The following is a 19881-nucleotide window of genomic DNA, read 5'->3' as shown; positions in this document are numbered from 1 at the left end:
CACAAGATTGAAGTGCTTTTGCTTCCTAGGAAACATGGTGTCATTCATTCATTTATTCAGCCAACATTAACTGAGGCCCCATTGTGTGCCAAGAAATGTGCTAGACCCTGGGACCACGTGCTTCTCACGCTGAAGATTCCCAGTAGAGAAGACACATAACAAACTGCCCGTAGAATGGGGCTGCCTTATTCATTTATGTATTCTCCAAGCCTCGCCCAGTGCCCAGCACGTAGTAGGAGCTCAATAAATAATAAGTGCCTTGGGCAGTAAGATAATGTCGTGGGTAAACCTCTGGCATTTAGAATCAGAGAACCTGGGTTTGAATCACAGCTTGTCCACTTCTTTGGTGTGTGACTCTGGGCAGGCCACATCATCTTGCTGAGACTCGATTTCTTCATAATGTAACATGGTGTGAACCTGCATCACAGAGTCTTGTGGGGATTATGGGAACTAAACTGTGAAAAGAGGCTGGGTGTGGAGGCTCGCGACTCTAATCCCAGCACTTTGGGAGGTCAAGGCAGGCGGATCACTGGAGCCCAGGAGTTTGAGACCAGCCTGGGCAGCATAGCAAAACCCCATCTCTACAAAAAAAAAAAGTACAAAAATTAGCCAGGCTCAGTGATGCATACTTGTAGTCTCAGCTACTCAGGAGGCTGAGGTGGGAGAATCACTTGAGCCTGGGAGGTGAGGTTGCAGTGAGCCCAGATCATGCCACGCACTCCAGCCTGGGTGACAGAGCCAGATCCCATCTCAAAAAAAATAAAGAATAAAATAAACTGTGTAGAGAGCCTGGTATACACGAAGTGCTTGATAAGTATAGCTATTGGAGTTAATATCAATACCATAATGTCAAAGAGCCCTGGTAAACACTCTGGGCTCCTGTCTGCCTTCTGAAAAACAAGGATTAAGCAGATCCCCTCTGTCTCTTCTGTACTAGGATCCTAGGAACTACAAATGGTGATTGTTTTAGGTGGGTGTGGAGCATCATCTTGTGGAAGAGAGGAAAATTGACAAAAATGTCGCAGTTTCCTATTAAGAATATATATTGGAATTCACAGTTTTTAAAATATGAGTACATATACCAAAAATGCCCTAATGCAAGGTGATCCCCAAATCCAATCAATTTTTCCAATGGACTAATAACAAATATTTGCCAGGGAGAAAATAAAAATGTGTTTGAGAATCACATGGATCAATGGGGAAAAACATAAAAATAAATGAAAAATAAAAATATGTTGGCATAGCCCTAATTACATAAGCTTAAGGGAAATCAAATATGCACTTCCAATATTTCGTTAATTTATTTAGATACAGCTATACATTTGTATATGTTATGGGGTAATATACAAATATTACTCTTTTCCACTTTCAGTTTTCAAAAAGATTTTGTAACTCAAGCTCTTCACAGGCATCTCCCACTTAGTGGTTTTCCCTCTCCAAGGCAATTTTTGAATCTTCTAAGCCTGTGTTTCAGGGCTCAGTATTTTTTACTCTGTTAAGCAGAGTGAGAGACAGGCTGTCATGAATCTGGACATTTTTATTTTTAATTTTTTTTAGACAGGGTCTCATTCTGTTGCCCAGGCTGGAGTGCAGTGGTTTGATCACAGCTCACTGCAGCCTCGACTTCCCAGGCTCAGGTGATCCTCCCACTTCAGCCTCCCTAGTAGCTACGGGCACATGCCACATGCCCGGCTAATTTTTTTGTATATTTTGTAGAGATGGAGTTTTACTATGCTGCCCAGGCTGGAAATCTGGACATTCTTAACAAACCTCAGTGACATATTTATGCGTTGTTAGGGCATTTTTAAAATGCATCCTATAGGTGCATACTTATGGCCTCCACAGTATCAATGTGGGATTTACTTTCTTTCCTTTTTTTTTTTTTTTTTTTTTTTTTTTTTTTTTTTTGAGACAGTCTGGCTGGAGTGCAGTGATGCCATCTCGGCTCACTGCAACCTCCGCCTCTGGGGTCAAGTGATTTTCCTGCCTCAGCCTCCCAAGTAGCTGGGATTACAGGCGCCTGCCACCACGCCTGGCTAATTTTTTTGTATTTTTAGTAGAGACGAGGTTTCATCATGTTAGCCAGGCTGGTCTCAAACTCCTGGCCTCAAGCGATCCTCCCGCCTCGGCCTCCCAAAGTGCTGGATTACAGGCGAGAGCCACCGCGCCTGGTCGCTAGTTGAGATCTTTAAAAGCCAATGTGTCTACCACAAACTGTCAGTTTGCTCTTCAAAATGAAGTTCTTGAGAGAACAGCGCCCCCTAAAGACAATTTTTTAAAAGATTACCTCCTTCCTGTGGATTATTGGTGAGGGGATAGGGGAGACCTAAATATACGCAACAAAACAAGTAGTAAAGGGGTGAGTATGTCTTTGCTTTTAGAAAATAAAGAGTCAATCCCAGGCCCCAGGACTCCCGGGGCTCAGCCCAAGCCCCCATCCCCTCACCCCAAGGAGCCAGCACCTTCTGATTCCGGGGCAGACACTACTGAGTTCCCGTAGGGAGACAAGGTCTGCTCCTGCAGCAGGAAATAGGGGATGGAGAGGTGGGGGCAGCCCAGCTCCAGGACACCCTGGGAAACTCCCAGCCTGAGAACCTTCCTCTCAAGGAAGCCCAAGGGGCACTTGGCTCCATCTCCAGCCTTTTTTCCTGGCAACCTCAAATGGAAAGAGAAAATTCCTCTTTCAAAGCTCAGCAAATTTTCTGTTTCCAATTAAAACAAAACAAAACAAAACAAAAAAACCCAAACAAACAAAACAAAGTTCAGTTTCAGTTTCCATTCTCAGCCGGCAGGAGAGATGGCTGCTGAACTAAGGCAGCCCAGCAGAGGGAGGCTCAGCTGATGCCTGGAGGGCCCCCTAGCCCTCTCTGCACCCTAAAAAGAGGAAAGTAAGCTTAGTGATTCTTCCGTCGGTGGCTCACGCCTGTAATCCCAGCACTTTGGGAGCCCAAGGCGGGCAGATCACCTGAGGTCAGGAGTTTGAGACCAGCCTGGCCAACATGGTGAAACCCCGTTTCTACTAAAAATACCAAAAATACCAAAAATTAGCCGGGCGTGGTGTCAGGTGCCTGTAATCCCAGCTACACAGGAGGCTGAGGTGGGAGAATCCCTTGAACCCGGGAGGCAGAGGTTGCGGTGAGCTGAGATCACGCCATGGGTGACAGAGCAAGACTCTGTATCAAAAAAAAAAAAAAAAAGAAAGAAAAAGGGCAGCTAACTCTCTCTCTAACCCACACCATCTCCCTGCCCTTCTGCAGTTCTGTGGCCTACTGGACAAAGGCTGGGAGTTGCCCCTTACAGGGCTGGGCAGAAGCAGAGACGATTCATTCCTGGTCCCACAGAGATGGCAGGCTTCCAGGACCTGTATGACACCCCTGGGGACAGGCTGGATGTCTTCATAAAACATCCTTCCAGTCTGCCTTCGTAAAACAGCCTCCAGCCCCAGGGAGACTGGAAGGATGAAGTGAAGGATGCCGGGCATTGAACTGAGCAGTTCTTGAGGGATCAGTTCTTCTATAATGAGCTGATTCTGGACCAGGAAGTCAGGGTGCTGAAGATGGCAAAGGTGAGCACTCAGGAACCCCCGGGGTTCAAATCCCAGCTCTGCCCTGTGGGACTGTGGGGCTGTGGGATAGGTAAGGGATGAGTTATTTTGTCTCTCTGAGCATCGGTCTCTTCCTCTCTAAAACCGGTTTCTAATGAACAATAAATGGGATAAAGCATAGAAAAGTGCTCTTAAGCAGTAAACTATTCTACAAATCTGGATGATGATGATGATGATGATGATGATGATGATGATGATTTGGGATCCAGCTCTCTAAGTGCCAGGGAATCAAGTGGACTATGGGTAGCAGGTTTGTATAAAATTTATGCCTTTTGGCCAGGCACAGTGGCTCACACCTGTAATCCCAGCACTTTGGGACGCTGAGTGGGGAGGATCACTTGAACCCAGGAGTTCAAGGCCAGCCTGGGCAACATTGCAAGACCTCATCTCAATTATTTAAAATTTTAAACTTTTTTATATATTATTTAAAAAAAATTTTTAAAGAAATTAAAATAAAATTTATGCCTTTTGTTTCCTCTTTAACCAGCCCCACTTAACCCCTAAAGTCATCAAGATCATCTATATTTTCCTTCTAAAATGGCACTGACTGGCCGGGCGCGGTGGCTCACGCCTGTAATCTCGGTACTTTGGGAGGCCAAGGCAGGCGGAACACGAGGTCAGGAGATCGAGACCATCCTGGCTAACATGGTGAAACCCCGTCTCTACTATAAAAATACAAAAAAAAACTTAGTCAGGTGTGGTGGCAGGCGCCTGTAATCCCAGCTACTCGGGAGGCTGAGGCAGGAGAATGGTGTGAACCCGGGAGGCAGAGCTTGCAGTGAGCTGAGATCACGCCACTCCAGCCTGGGTGACAGAGTGAGACTCGATCTCAAAAAAAAAAAAAAAAAGTAAAAAAATAAAATGGCGCTGACTGATTTTGTTAGAAACTACCTAGCAATTAGGTAATATCAGAGGGTACTCTCTGGGTTCAGAGGGTTTGTTAGAGGCTGACCATGGAATCAAATACGTATTTATAGCATGGTTTCCCCTGGGAAAGTACTAAACTATAGTTCAACTTTTAACATATCACCCTAAATCAAAAATGCCTTAACCATAAATCTAGATTTGGTTTATTTTGCTAGAATGAAAGACATCTAACATTATCTTAAGCAAATCAGACTTCACCTGGGAGTGGCAATGGCTGCCGAGAATACGACTGAAAAGGAAGGAAATGCAGCTTTAATGAATCTTCAGGCCAGGCACAGTGGTTCTCGCCTGTAATCCCGGCACTTTGAGAAGCCAATGTAGGCAGATTGCTTGAGCCCAGGAGCTCAAGACCAGCCTGGGCAACATCACGAAAACTTGTCTCTACAAAAAGCACAAAAAAATTAGCCAGGTATGGTAGCATCCACCTGTGGTCCCAGCTACTCGGGAGGCTGAGGTGGGAGGATCACTTGAGGCCAGGAGGTCGAGGCTGCAGTGAGCTGTGGTCATGCCGCTGCACTGTAGCCTGGGTGACAGTGTCTCAAAAAAAGAATCTTTAAATACGGAGTCGAAGGCAAATAATCAGGAGTGTTACTAGCAAACCCTGAGCTTCAAAACAGAAATTCGAGCTTCCATGGTTGCTTAAAAAGATACAACTTTGCCCTTCTGGCTTCTGGCTCGTCCACACATCTGCATGTGCCCTAAGGTCCCTCTGCTGCAGAGCTCTGGCAGCATCTTTGCTTTCCAGATCCAAAACAAAAACACAAAGAAAAGGGGAATCCCGATCAGAACCAGAAATAGAATGCGTATTCTCTTAAGAATGGGTTCGAGGGTGTTCAAGTACTTTAACATATGTTATAATAAAGTTCTTCTACTGATTGAAAGGCACTGTCTTGATGGGAGGCGCACCATTCATATGATCTCAAACACTCACAACGTGAAGTTCCTATTCCCGCCTCTACGGGGATGTGTTTCAAATGGAGACTATTTGTCTGTATAAGAAAAAAATGCATTTTACCTTTCCTCTTGCTCTCTCAACCATCTCTATTTCCAGAGGTGGAAACGCCCCTAGAATACCTATTTCCACCAGTTTTGACCAGCACAGAAAATGCCTACAACAAAGTTATCTATAGAGCTAGAGATCCTGTCTGAATAAACATCGGTAAACAAGCAACAAGAAGGACTTTGTTTCTGTATTGGGAAGAAGGGAGTACATTGCATATAATTCAACATTTGCTTGAGCTTTTCAAGCACTAAGTTTTCTTCCTTTCTGGTTTTTTTTTTCTTTTTTCTTTTTTTTTTTTTTGAGACAGTATTGCTCTGTTGCCCAGGCTGGAGTTCAGTGGTGGCACAATTTCGGCTTACTGCAACTTCCACCTCCCAGGTTCAAGCAATTCTCGTGCCTCAGCCTCAGCCTCCCAAGTAGCTGGGATTACAAGCACGCAACACCACGCCTAGCTAATTTTTTTTTTCTTTTTTTGTGTTTGTAGAGATGGGGTTTCACCATGTTGCCCAGGCTGATCTTGAACTCCTGAGCTCAGGCAATCCACTCGCCTCGGCCTCCCAAAGGGCTGGGATTACAGGTGTGAGCCACCATACTCGGCCTTTAAGTTTTCTTTTCTTTCTTTTTTTTTTTTCTTGAGAGAGAGTCTCACTCTGTCACCCAGGCTGGAGCGCACTGGCATGATCTCGGCTCACTGCAACCTCCTTCTCCCATGTTCAAGCAGTTCTCCTACCTCAGCCTCCCGAGTAGCTGGGATTACAGGCATGCACCACCACACCTGGGTAATTTTTTATATTTTTAGTAGAGACGGGCTTTCACCATGTTGGCCAGGCTGGTCTCAAACTCCTGACCTCAGGTGATCCTCCTGCCTCGGCCTCCCAAAGTGCTGGGATTACAGGCGTGAGCCACCACACCCAGCCCTAAGTTTTCTTAGTTGCATTTTAGTCTTCTAGCTTTCATTCATCCTTATTAAGACAAGAGTGCTGTATTTTTCTAGAGTCGAATATACTGGTTCCATTTGATTTCCTGCCATGAATATCTTGGAGAGTCTTCTGGGACCAGGGACAACATTTGCAAGGACATCTCTTGCAGTACTTAGTCACTAACTCCACCTGACACCAATATTCTTCCTTTTCTACTATTCTGTGTCCTCTGGTCAAGGAATCCAATGTCTAAATTAAGGTTACAGAGGAATCTGAAGTCAAAATTGCTTCATAATGTTTTTAATTACAAAAATCATACATTGAGTCACAAAAATATAGGAAAATACCAAAAAAAACCCTCAAATGAATGCCCTTACTATTCATAGATAAGCACCATTTATATTTTAGTGCACTATGATCACATTTTCAATGTTTATAAAGAACTAGAAAATATTTTATTTCATGTGTAACTATAAATATACTTATTTCAAAAGTGATTATAAACTTCCGGTGCCAGCCAAGATGTAGTAAACATCTCACAAATTACAACTAAAACTCTGGACAGACATTAGAAAGCAAGTACTTGAGGACTCCAAAAACTAAATAGCAGGCAGGCAGATTAGGGACTGGAGTCAAATCTTGAATAATCTGTAACAAGAGTGATGGCTGGCGCGGTGCTCGCGCCTGTAATCCCAGTACTTTGGGAGGCCGAACCAGGTAAATCACATGAGGACAGGAGTTGGAGACCAGCCTGGCCAACACAGTGAAACCCCATCTCCACCAAAAATTACAAAAATTAGCCAGGTGTGGTGGCCCATGCCTATAGTCCCAGCTACTCGGGAGGCTGAGGCATGGGAATTGCTTGAACCCAGGAGATGGAGGTTGCAGTGAGCCAAGATCGTGCCACTGCACTCCAGCCTGGGCAGCAGAGTGAGACCCTGCCTCAAAAAAATAAATAAACAAAAGAAAACACACACACAAAAGACATGCAACACCAGTGGATATCAAAAGCATTTTGCTTAGTGGAGGGGAAAAGCCAATTTCAAAAGGTCACATACCATATAGTTCCATGTATATAATATTCTCAAAATGATAAGACAACAGAGATGGAAAAGAGGTTAATGGTTTCCCTGATTTCAGGATGGAGGAGGGGAGGGAGGTGGGTGTGACATGAAGAAGCTGCATGAGGCCCATCTTGGCAGTAATGGAATAGTTCTCCATCTTGATTGCAGTGGTGGTTACAGGAATCCCTGCATGTGATGATACGTCACACAACGAATACAAACATTGTGTTGATGTCAATTTGCTGGGTTTGACATTCCACTATAGCTGTGTAAGATGTGAGCATTGAGGGGGACTGAGTAAAGGACACACCAGACGCCTCTGTCCTATCTTTACAACTTCCTGTGAATCTGTAATTACTTCCAAATTAAAAGTCTCAAAAATGGTTATACATACACACATGCCTCTACGCATACGAAATAGATGTATACAAAATATATGCACAACAATATGTTTCAGTCAGAACTGTTCATAGAATTTTCTATGATGATAGGAAGGTTCTTTTTTGTAGACAGGGTCTTGCCCTGTTGCCCAGGCTGGAGTACCATGGCACGGTCTCCGCTCACTGCGGCCTCAACCTCCCTGACTCAAGCGATCGTCCCACCTGAGCTTCCCGAGAAGCTGGGACTACAGGCATGCAGCGCTACCCCCGGCTGATTTTTTTGTTGACACAGGGTTTTGCCCTGTTGCCCAGGCTGATCTCGAACTCCTTGGCTCAAAGCAACCTTCCCGCTTTGGCCTCCCGAAGTGCTGGGATTACAGGTGTGAGCCACCGCACCCTGTGGGAAGGTTCTATACATTCACCGTCCAATACAATAGCCACTATTTCTGGGCAGCCCTTGAGCACGTCAAATGAGGTCAGTAGGACCAAAGTACTGAATGTTTTATTTCATTTCATTTTAATTCATTTAAATTTATTTATTTATCTATTGGAGACAGTGTCTCTGTCACCCAGGCTGCAGTACCAGTGGGGTGATCATGGCTCACTGCAGCCTCAAACTCCTGGCCTCAAGCAATCCTCCCACCTCAGCCTCCCAAAGTGCTGGCAATACAGGCGTGAGCCACTGCTCCCAGCATAATTAATTTAAATTTAAATAGCCACATGTGGTTCTTGGATACCATGTTGGGTGATACAGGTCTTGCTGTACATTTATGGAGCGATATGCAAGAAGCTTGTAACTGTGGTTGTCTCTGGAAAAGGAGTTTCGGGCTTTAAGAGGAGTGGAGTTTTACATTTTACTTACATCCTTTGAAGTGTTTACCGGGTATTTAATTTTTTTGAATCAATGAAAAAAGTAATAATACTCAGCAAAGACCATGATGTATGATGGAGACCAAGGGCTCCTTTGGGACCTGGGTGAACAGCCTAACCTGGGTGCCTCTGGCTTCATTCCTAACCCCAAAGCATCAGATCTCAGCAGAGGTGACACTCACCCATGTCATCCTCCACAGAGCGTCTCCACAGGGAAGGGGACGATGCTGAACTACAGCTCTGACCTGGACCTGATTCTCTTCCTGAGCTGCTTCTCCAGCGTCCAAGACCAGGCACAGCTGCGAGACAGTATCATCAGCTTCATTGAAGAGAATTGGTTCACTGTAGCAAGAGCCTGGCCTACAATATCACTGTGGTCCGGCACAGGGAGGGTACAAGGGCCCCTGACTCCCTGTCCCTCCAGGTCCAGTCCAGGAAGAGCAGCGGAGTCATTTGGATGGATAAGCTCCCGGCTTTCGATGCTCTGGGTAAAGACAGCGACAGGTCGGGTCCAGAGAAACTAGTCAGGGCCGCTTTGCCAACCTGGCCTCGGGAGGCTTGAGAAAGTGGAATCCAGTGGGAGAGTGGAGGTTGCCCTTTTTCAGGGAGACAGGACTGGAGCGATACCTTGGAGATTAAGTCCTCCCATAAATGCATGTGTTACCATATTCCATCATGGCCTGGGGAAATAAATGGGACTTCCAAATGATGGATTCCCACCCAACCCAAGGAGGTGATTTCTCTCTAATCCTTTGGGATTAGAAAGGTTGCTTGCAGGGTGTTGGGCCCTGTTTATTTTTTATTTTTATTTATTTTTTATTTTTTGAGGCAAGGTCTCGCTCTGTTGCCCAGGCTGGAGTGCAGTGGCACAGTCTCTGCTCATTGCAACCTTCATCTCCCAGGTTCAAGTGATTCTTCTGCCTCAGCCTCCCGAGTAGCTGGGACTACAGGCATGCGCCACCACGCCCGGCTAATTTTTGTATTTTTAGTAGAGACGAAGTTTCACCACGTTGGTCAGGTTGGTCTCAAACTCCTGACATCAGGTGATCTGCCCACCTCGGCCTCCCAGAGTGCTGGGATTACAAGTGTGAGCCACCGCGCCCGGCCTCCAGCATTTTTTAAGAGAAAAAAATGGAAATAACCTTCATTGTCTAAGGATACCGTACAATGTTAGGGATAGCCATTTTGTTTGTTTGTTGTTGCCATACTGTGCTATACTATTCTCTTTTTTGTTTTTTGAGACAGGATCTCCCTCTGTCCCCCAGGCTGGAGTGGTGCAGTGGTGCCATCACAGCTCATTGCAGCCTTGACCTGGGCTCAGATAAGCCTCCTGCCTCACCTTTCTGTGTGGCTGGAACCACAGGCATGTGCCACCACATCAAGCTAATTTTTTTATGGTTTGTAGAGATGGGATGCAGGGGGTATCACTCTGTTGCTCAAGCAGTCCTACCAACTCGGTCTCCCAAAGTGCTGGGATTACAGGTGCGAGCCACCACGCCTAGCCTCTCCTGCCTCTCTTGAAATCTATGTGCGTACGGTGCACACAGAGCTTACATAAGTGGAGTCATATCATGCATACTGGTTTTGTAGTCTACCTTTCAAAAAAATGCATTTGTTTGGGACTTCTCAACTAGAACTTTTGGGAGCTATGTATTAATGTAATTTGCACATTTTCCCATTGAGCTGTCTGTCTTCCTTATCAGTTTTAAGAACTCTTTGTAACTTGTAGATATTTACCATTATTTTTCTTTTTTCTTTTTTTTTTTTTTGAGACGGAGTCTCACTTTGTCGCCCAGGCTAGAGTGCAGTGGCTGGAGTGCAGTGGCACAATCTCAGATCACTGCAACCCCTGTCTCCCGGGTTCAAGCAACCCTCCCTCCTTGGCCTCCCAAAGTGCTGGGATAACAGGCACACCTGGTCTGAGGATATGATCTTGAGTGAAGCAACCTCCCATTGTCTGAGGGCAATGCTCTGGCAGGGACTCAACTAGGAGCTGTTAGCAGCAACACTCCCAACAGCTGGGAAATGAGTGCCCCAGTCCTGAAGGGGCATCTGGTGGCAAGTGCCATCATCCTCATCCACTGCACTTCAAACCTGTGTGCTCTATTGTTTGTGAGTTATATCTCAACTGAATAATCTGGGAAAAAGAATGACTCAGCCAGGCACGGTGGCTCACACCTGTAATCCCAGCACTTTGGGAGGCCGAGGCGGGTGGATCACCTGAGGTCAGGAGTTTGAGACCAGCCCAGCCAATGTGGCAAAAACCCATACCTACTAAAAGTACAAAAAAAAAACAACAAAAAAAGGCCGTGGTGGCATGCACCTCTAGTCCTAGCTACTAGGGAAACTGAGGCAGGAGAATCACTTGAACCCGGGAGGCAGAGGTTGCAGTGAGCTGAGATTGTACCACTGCACTCCAGCCTGGGCAACAGAGCAAGACTCCATCTCAAAAAAAAAAAAAATAAAGAATGGCTCCCAGATTTCTAGCCACTGCTAACAGTGAACCCTGCTCTTCTTTCTGTTCACACTCATCTCATTAAAATTCCAATTCGAGATTTGTCTTCTCATTAGAATAATAGCTCACATTCATTGAGCACCAACTATGTGTCAGGTGCTGGGCTGAGTACTTTCCATCTATTCCTTCTTCGGAGCACCACAGTAGGCTTAGGATGTAGGTCCTATTATCATCCTCATTTTCCAGGTGGGGAAACTGAGACACAAATAGTTTAGATGACTTCCACATTCACACAATGAATACACTTGGATTTGAATCCAGACACTCTGGCTCCAAAGCTCATGCTGCGACTACTTTGCTTTGCTGTAAACTCACCAGGAATGGAGGACCGTCTTATTCAGCGCTGTCTCCCAGTGCCTGGCACAGTGGCTAACACATAATAGGAGCTCCGTAAATACATGTTGAATGAATGGATGAATTCAAGGAGGACTGAATGAGGTATTGGATGAGGTCTGGAACAACACGACACAGGTGAAATTCTGCACCCACTGCCTAACACACAGTGCTCACTAAATGCAACAGCTACCAGCTGTTATTAGCTCCTTCCACTGCCCCCTCCAAATTCTCCCTGCATATCCTCGTGTTGGAGTAGAGGGAATTCTAAAGAGTTGTATTCTTTCCAGTCCTGGAAGTTCCCTCACTCTTAGTTCTATACCACGGCCAACATGGCAAAAACAGAATGCATGCTGTGGCAGAAATTGCTATTTTCCCTCAATATCCTTTCTCCCTTTCTTCCATAGCAATAGAATTTTTAGTTAGGCACATTGCCAAAGGCTAAAGACTACATTTCCCAGCCTCCCTTGCAGCTGGGTGTGACCATGTGATTAAGTTCTGACCATTGGCGTTTTTCATATTTTATGCATAAATTTGCATGTTTATCCCTGACAACATTTGCCATTTGCCTGTTGGTTTCAGAATCCCCAGGAGCTATCTCCCTCCTGCTTTAGAGTCAGGAAGGAGGATGGAGAAAATGTTGTGATATTAGGCATTGAGACAATTTTTGTGCAAGTTTCTGTCCTTTGGGTAGGTTGAAAACTGGATGCAGCTTTATTCCGTGGTGCTCCAGATATCACAAGGAGAAAGTCCCTAAGACCCAGAAGTCCAACTGAGCTGTTTTGCCAGAATGCAAGGAGATGAATTATGGTAATGATCAGGGACGGGCCTCCACAGTTTTCCTACTTTTAAACAGGGAGGCGGTCACAATTCTGTGGAATTCTAGGGGCCTATAGAAAACAGGCTGATATGAGTTAGCAAGAGCCCAGTATCACTGGGGAGACCAGGAGGCTACCAGTGAATTTCATTCAGCTCCAAGAAGAGATTCAGAGAAGGAAGTCTTAAGGTTTCAAGGAGGAAGGACCTTGGGCTACTGACCCATTTCTTCTACACCCTGGTTTACTTGCCTTTCTATCCAGCCCAGACCCCATGGTCAAGCCTGCCAGTCACTCCCTAGTGGATGCCTTCAATTTTCTGCCCATTTATCCTTCCAGTCCATTCACTCCTGGAACATAAGGACATTTTGGGTTGCAAGTGACAGACACCCCATTCAAAATAGTTTATGCAAAAATAAGTAGAATGGGCTGGCTGCGGTGGCTCATACCTACAATCCCAGCACTTTGGGAGGCCAAGGCAGGAAAATCACTTGAGGCCAGGAGTTTGAGACCAGCCTGGGCAACACAGAGATCTCATATCTACAAAAAATATAAAAGTTAGGTAGGTGTGGTAAGCGCACATCTATAGTCCTAGCCACTCGGGAGGCTGAGGTAGGAGGATCACATAAGCCCAGGTATTGGAGGTTACAGTGAGCTATGATTGTGCCACTACACCCCAGCCTGGGTGAAAGAGTGAGACCCTGACTCTAAAAATACAAATACAAATTCAAAATAAATAGCATATAATGGCCCGTAAGAGTCCAGGGGAAGCTAACATTAGGTACAACTGGACCGTGTTAGTCAGGGTTCTCCATGGAAACAGAACCAGTAGGGTATATGTGTAGATAAAGAAGAGGGGATTTATTAGGGGAATTGACTGCATTAGTCTGGTCTCACACTGCTATAAAGAAACACCTGAGACTGGGTAATTTACGAAGAAAAGAGGTTTAATTGGCTCACACTTCTGCAGCCTGTACAGGAAGCATTGCAACTTCCGCTTCTGGGGAAGCCTCAGGAAACTTACAATCATGGCTGGAGCAGGAGCAAGAGAGAGAAGGGGGAGGTCCTTCATAATTTTTTTTTTTTTTTTTGATACAGAGTCTTGCTCTGTCACCCAGGCTGGAGTGCAGTGTCATGATCTTTGCTCACTGCAACCTCCACCACCTGGGTTCAAGCAATTCTCCTGCCTCAGCCTCTCTAGTAGCTGGGATTACAGGTGCCCACCACCAAGCCCAGCTCACTTTTGTATTTTAGTGGAGACAAGGTTTCACCATGTTGGCCAGGCTGGTCTTGAACTTCTGACCTCAAGCAATTCACCTGCCAGCCTCCTGCACACTTTTTAAACAACCAGATCTCACAAGAACTCACTCTGCAGTATCAAGGGGAGATGGTGCTAAACCATTCATGAGAACTCCACCCCCATAATCCAGTCACCTCCCACCAGCTCCCACCTCCAACACTGGGGATTACAGTTTAACATCAGATTTGGGCAGAGACACAGGTCCAAACCAAATCATTGGCTCATATGATTACGGAGGCTTAGAAGTTCCAAAATATGGCGTCAACAAGCTGGAGACCCAGAGGAGCCAGTGGTGTAAGGCTCAGAGTCCGAAGATCTGAGAACCTGGAGCTCTGATGTCTGATGGCAGGAGAAGATGAATGTCCCAGCTCCCAAGGAGGATGGCAAATTCATCACCCTTCCTTCACATTTTGTTCTGTCCAGGCTCTCAGTGGATTGGACGGTGCCCACCTACATTAGTGAGGGCAGATCTTCATCCCTCAGTGTACTCATTCAAATGCTAATCTCCTCTGGAAATAGCCTTACAGGCACACCCAGCGATAATGTTTTACTCTCTGGGCATCCTGATACCTAAAATTAACTGTCATGTGGATCCAGGAGTCCAGATGATGCCAGAGGGGGTGCCAGCTGGTTTATGTGCCAGGCCAACTCTCCCTGACAATCACACACACAGACCTGCATAGCACTTCCGTTACACCGACCCATTTCCGCAGAGCAGCACAAAGACTACAGGGAAGCTAGAAGCAGACGTGGCGGGGATGCCTGCAGCTGCAAGAAGATGCCTGGGAACAGACACAGAAACTCTCGCTCCCAGATAAGCAAAACACAGCAGCACAAAGGCAGCTGTTTGAATAAATTCATTGGAGAGTCTAAGGCAGCAATCCGGACCAAGCTGTAAAGGAGATAAGACAGAAATAATCACACAACAGACAGGCCTTAAAGGTACTGGGGTTCTCCGCCGGGCCCGGTGGCTCACACCTGTAATCCCAGCACTTTGGGAGCCTGAGGTGGGTGGATCACCTGAGGTCAGGAGTTCAAGACCAGCCTGACCAATATGGTGAGACCCTATCTCTACTAAAAATACAAAAATTAGCCAGGCATGGTGGTGTGCACCTGTGGTCCCGGCAACTCAAGAGGCTGAGACAAGAGAATTTCTTGAACCTGGGAGGCAGAGGTTGCAGTGAAGTGAAATCATGCCACTGTACTCCAGCCTGGGCAAGAGAGCAAGACTCCATCTCAAAAAACAAAAGGTACCGGGGTTCTCACAGCTTAATGGAACTTAGCAAGTCTTTTTTTTTTTTTTTTTTGGCCTCTGACCTTCTAGTTGAAACAAAATTAGTTACCAATAGACTTAGGCGAATGCCATACGGCACATAGGCACATAACCTCAACCTATATAAGCACTAAGAAAATGGTAACACTTTGATTTGGTCTGGTGGAATTATCTCCCTGTATCTTGTTACAGCAATAAATTCCCTTCTTTTCTAGTTTCTCTGCTTCTCGTTATTGGGCCTCGAGAAAATGCAGCCGGACCCGGCTTGGTTCTGGGCATAGTGAATCACTCCACAACATCCATTTTTCTGTTCAATGATTCTGTGACTTGGCTGAGCAGTTTTCCTGGTCTGATCTGGCTCACCTGCCACAGGAGATCTACACCAGCTCCACCCACGTGTCTGGCAGTTGGTTCAATATCAGCTGGGAAGGCTGGGCGTGGTGGCTCATGCTTGTAATCTCAGCACTTTGGGAGGCCGAGGTGGGTGGATCACCTGAGGTCAGGAGTTTGAGACCAGCCTGGCCAACATGGTGGAACCCCGTCTCTACTAAAAACACAAAAAATTAGCCGGATGTGGTGGCGGGCGCCTGTACTCCCAGCTACTCGGGAGGCTGAGGCAGGAGAATCACTTGAACCAAGGAGCTGGAGGTTGCTATGAGCTGAGATCATGCCACTACACTCCAGCCTGGGCAATAAGAGTGAAACTCCGTCTAAAGAAAAAACAAACAAACTATATATGTATTTTATATATATATATATTATATATATAGTGATATATATATTATATATAGTGATATATATATTATATATAGTGATATATATATTATATATAGTGATATATATAATATATAGTGATATATATAATATATAGTGATAATATAAATATATAGTGATATATATAATATATAGTGATATATATTATATATAGTGATATATATAATATATATAATATATAGTGATATATATAGTGTGTGTGTATATGTATATATATGTATATGTGTATATGTATATATATGTGTATGTGTATATATATATATATATGTGTGTGTGTGTGTGTGTGTATATATATATCAGCTGAGAAAATAGGGCTGCCTTCACCGTAGGTTTCTCCTTACCCAATAGGCCAACCTGAGCTTGTGCATGTGGTCACTGGGCTCTGACAGGAGCAAGAGAAAGAGCAAGTCCCCCTAGGCCGGCACTTTTTAAGCATCTGCTTGCATCGCGTTTGCTAATGTCTCACTGGCCAAAACAAGTCACATGGCCAAGCCTTGATTTGAAGGAAATAGAGAAATAAACTCCACCTCTTGCTGGGAGGAGCTGCAAAGCCAGCCTTGTAGAGGAGTGTGTATACAGGGAGGAGAGGAAATTGGCAGCATTATTCTATGCATTGTTAGCCTTTTTTTTTTTTTTTTTTTTTCTTTGAGACGGAGTCTCGCTCTGTTGCCCATGCTGGAGTGCAGTGGTGCGATCTCGGTTCACTGCAAACTCCGCCTCCCGGTTCAAGCAATTCTCCCATCTCAGCCTCCCTAGTTGCTGGGATTACAGGCACCCGCCACTGCGCTCTGTTAATTTTTTGTATTTTTAGTAGAGACAGGGTTTCACCATTTGGCCAGGCTGAACTCGAACTCCTGACCTCTCAGGTGATCTGCCCATCTCAGCCTCCCAAAGTGCTGGGATTACAGGCATGAGCCACCACACCCAGCCTGTGAGCCATTTTCTTCTATAATCTCTCTCCATGAATAGGAAACTTGGCCCTGCTTTCTATCAAGGCATTCTCCGCCACCTCATAAGACACATCTGTGGGTGCCTACTCACCCATTAGGATGCATGAGCAAACCTGCAAGTTCAAGGGAGTTAACACCCAATGGAGCAACCCATAACCAAGGGGAAGGCCAGAACCAGTGGCCCCTCTTCTACCTCTCAGATGGACAATTTTTTCTTTTTTTAAACAGGGTCTCACTCCCTTGCCCAGGCTGGAGTACAGTGGAGTGATCAGGGCTCACTGCAGCCTTGACTTCCCACATTCAGGAGATCCTCCTATCTCAGCCCTGTCTGAGGTAGCAAGACCCCATCTCTACAAACAATTTTCTGAAAATTAACCAGGCATGGTGCCTGTAGCTCTACCTACTCAGGAGGCTGAGGTGGGAGGATCACTTGAGCCTAGGAGTTCGACACCAGCTTGGGCAACATAGTGAGACCCTGTCTCAACAACAACAACAAAAAACAATTTAAAATTAGCCAGGTGTGGTGGCTTGTGCCTGTAGTCCCAGCTACTCAGGAGGCTGAGGTGGGAGGATCACTTAAGCCCAAGAGGTCGAGGTTATAGTGAGTTGTGATCATGCCACTGCACTCCAGCCTGGGCGAATGAGCAAGACAACATCAAAAAAAAAAGGAAGAGAAAAGAGAGAGAGAGAGATGACAGAAAGAAAGAGAAAGAAAGGAAGGAAGGAAGGAAGAAAGAAAGAAAGAAAGAAAGAAAGAAAGAAAGAGAAAGAAAGAAAGAAGAAAGAAAGAAAGAAAGAAAAAGAGAAAGAGTTCCTCAGATTGGCTTTCTCTGCTTCCTAATCCCCCACACTTACCCCTTGAGATCATTTCCCAGAACAAACCACCTTCATGCAACCCCTTGTCTCATGCTCTGCATTGAGGGGAATCCAAGCTAAGACAACACTCATCTTTGTGTCTCTTTCTCCTGCTCAAAACCTAGCTCAGCCCCTTCCTATCCACTGGCTCTTCTCCCTCCCTGCAGATGCCTGCTCAACTGGGTGGTATTTTAACAAACCATAAAACCAACACATTACTGATTTCATGTTCCCTTTTGAAATCCTCAAATGTCATCCAACATATTAATGATCAAATAATTGAAAGCTATGTAACCCTCAGAGATTTCACGAAGTCGAATAAAAAACCAATAGGTTAAGGTCTGAATGTTTATTGTTTGAATAACTTCTATATTGCCTTGAAGTTCATTGTCAGTCATCGTAACCATATGGCAAATGTTTGGAGTCTTAACCGGTTGTTGACTTAGCTTTGTGAAATTGTCACTGCTCTTTAAATCCTCATAATATGGTATTGCTGAAGGATCAGGTACTACCAAACACTGGAAATATAAGAACTTTTATAATTTATGTAATTAAAATATGTGATGCTTTCCACTTGGGGTTAGCCAGTTTGAAAAGTTAAATTGGAATGTGTCATGATGGACAAACTCCTTGAAAGAATCATCTGCACTTCTGGTCTCCATGCCCCCGACCCCACCCAGCCTAATCTGGCTTCAGCTCCCTCCTCTCGCCTAAAACTGTGCCCACCTTGATCACCAGTCGTTTTCTTGAGTACTTTTCAGGTCTGTATTTCTTAACTTTTCAGAAGCATTCAGCAATGTGGGTGACTTTTTTTTAACTCTGGTTATGCCCACCTCTTTGGCCACCCCAGCAGGTACCGCCTAAATTTCTCTTCCTCTGCTCATCACTTAAATTTGGGGCTTGGCCAGGCATAGCAGTTCATGCCTGCAATCTCAGCACTTTGGGATGCTGAGGTGGGAGGATTGCTTGAGCCGGGGTTCGAGGCTGCAGTGAGCTATGATTGCACCACTGCTCTCCAGCCTGGGAGATGGAACGAGACTCTGTCTCTACATTAGTTCATTTTGGTGTGATTCATTCTTCCCCAAGGTACCAGTGACCACGTGTATACTGAGGGAAATCAAATATGTCTTTACATGGAGCAGGTCACTCGCTTCTCATCCTTGGGTACTACCAAATCATTATCCAAAATGCACCCCTCGAACTCCCCACAGCCATACCCACTCCTCCTTCTCTCCTTGGGAATGGTGGCTCCAACAGTTACTCAAGGACACAAGCCAGAGAGCTGGGAGTCATCCCTGTCTTCTCCTTGCCCCTCACCTATAGTCAACAAGAAGCCCTGCCCACCCTTCTTCCAAAATAGACCTAGAATCCAACCCCTCTTCTCCACCTGCACTGCTTCCAGCCTTGTCTTGGGCCTCACTGCTTATCACCTGCACCCCTGCGAAGTGTCCTAATGCATTTCCCTGCATCTGCCCTTGCCCTCTGCGGTTCGTCCTCACCATGGAAGCAGCCAGACCAATCTTAACTCCACTACATGCCACTCCCCTAAATTTGCCACTGCCCTCAGGACAAAAAGCAGATTCACCTGGCACTCTTTTAACCCAGTGGATCATTTCCATTTCTTCTTCTTCTTCTTCTCCTTTTTTTTTTTTTTTTTTTTTTGAGACAGGGTCTCACTCTGTCACCCAGGCTGGAGTGCAGTAGCATGATCATGGCTCACTGCAGCCGCGACCTCCCTGGACTGAGGTGATCCTCCTACCTCAGCCTCCTGAGTAGCTGGGACTATGGGCACTCACCATCATACCTGGCTAATTTTTGTATTTTTTTGTAGAGATGGGGTTTTGCCATGTTGCCCAGGCTGATCTTGAATTCCTGGGCTCAAGCGATCCTCCCATCTTGACTTTCAAAGTGCTGGGATTTCAGGTGTGAGCCACCATGCCCATCCCATTTCCTCTTTCTTAAAACAATATCTTCACTTGGCCTTCAAACCATCACTCCTGATTTCTCTTCCACCTCACTAGCTACTTCTTTTCCTTCTTCTTTGCTGGACTCGTGCAACTCCCTAAACTCCGAATAATATTAAGTGCTCTGGGGCTCAGTCCTGGGTCTTTTTCTCTTCCTGCTGTGTCATCACTCCCTTGGTGATCTCATTCAGTGTCATGGCTTTAAACATCCCTATGCCGGTGACCCCCACATTTTATCTCAAGTCCAGACCTCCTCCCTGTAATACAGACTCGCATATCCAACTCCCCACCACATATCTCCACCTGGGTCTCTGACAGACACCCCAAACTTCAG

The 19881-nt window shown here is 45.6% G+C and overlaps 1 long non-coding RNA gene and 1 pseudogene across 1 annotated transcript in view, besides 4 other annotated features; both read left to right on the top strand.

Moving 5' to 3' along the window:
* The window catches only part of LOC105378258 (uncharacterized), a 33706-nt gene extending 29982 nt beyond the window's left edge, over positions 1-3724 (top strand). The window contains exon 4 of the long non-coding RNA XR_007063492.1: positions 3258-3724. This is a non-coding gene — a long non-coding RNA (uncharacterized LOC105378258). The remainder of the gene's footprint in view (positions 1-3257) is intronic.
* Positions 2433-2612: an enhancer, noted in NCBI's record as "active region_7156". NCBI's record gives its function as "activates an Ori minimal core promoter by ATAC-STARR-seq in GM12878 lymphoblastoid cells {active_cell/tissue: GM12878}" and the evidence as "EXISTENCE:reporter gene assay evidence [ECO:0000049][PMID:35858748]".
* Positions 2633-2802: an enhancer, noted in NCBI's record as "active region_7155". NCBI's record gives its function as "activates an Ori minimal core promoter by ATAC-STARR-seq in GM12878 lymphoblastoid cells {active_cell/tissue: GM12878}" and the evidence as "EXISTENCE:reporter gene assay evidence [ECO:0000049][PMID:35858748]".
* Positions 2923-3012: an enhancer, noted in NCBI's record as "active region_7154". NCBI's record gives its function as "activates an Ori minimal core promoter by ATAC-STARR-seq in GM12878 lymphoblastoid cells {active_cell/tissue: GM12878}" and the evidence as "EXISTENCE:reporter gene assay evidence [ECO:0000049][PMID:35858748]".
* On the top strand, positions 3344-9282 carry OASL2P (2'-5' oligoadenylate synthetase like 2, pseudogene; annotated as a pseudogene).
* Positions 16114-16408: an enhancer, noted in NCBI's record as "tiled region #13012; HepG2 Activating non-DNase unmatched - State 22:ReprW, and K562 Activating DNase matched - State 8:EnhW". NCBI's record gives its function as "activates a minimal TATA promoter and a strong SV40 promoter by Sharpr-MPRA in HepG2 and K562 cells {active_cell/tissue: HepG2 | K562}" and the evidence as "EXISTENCE:reporter gene assay evidence [ECO:0000049][PMID:27701403]".

The sequence above is a fragment of the Homo sapiens genome, chromosome 12 (assembly GCF_000001405.40).
Source record: "Homo sapiens chromosome 12, GRCh38.p14 Primary Assembly".
NCBI classification, from domain to species: Eukaryota; Metazoa; Chordata; class Mammalia; order Primates; family Hominidae; genus Homo; species Homo sapiens.
This window is presented reverse-complemented; position numbering and strand designations above follow the sequence as displayed.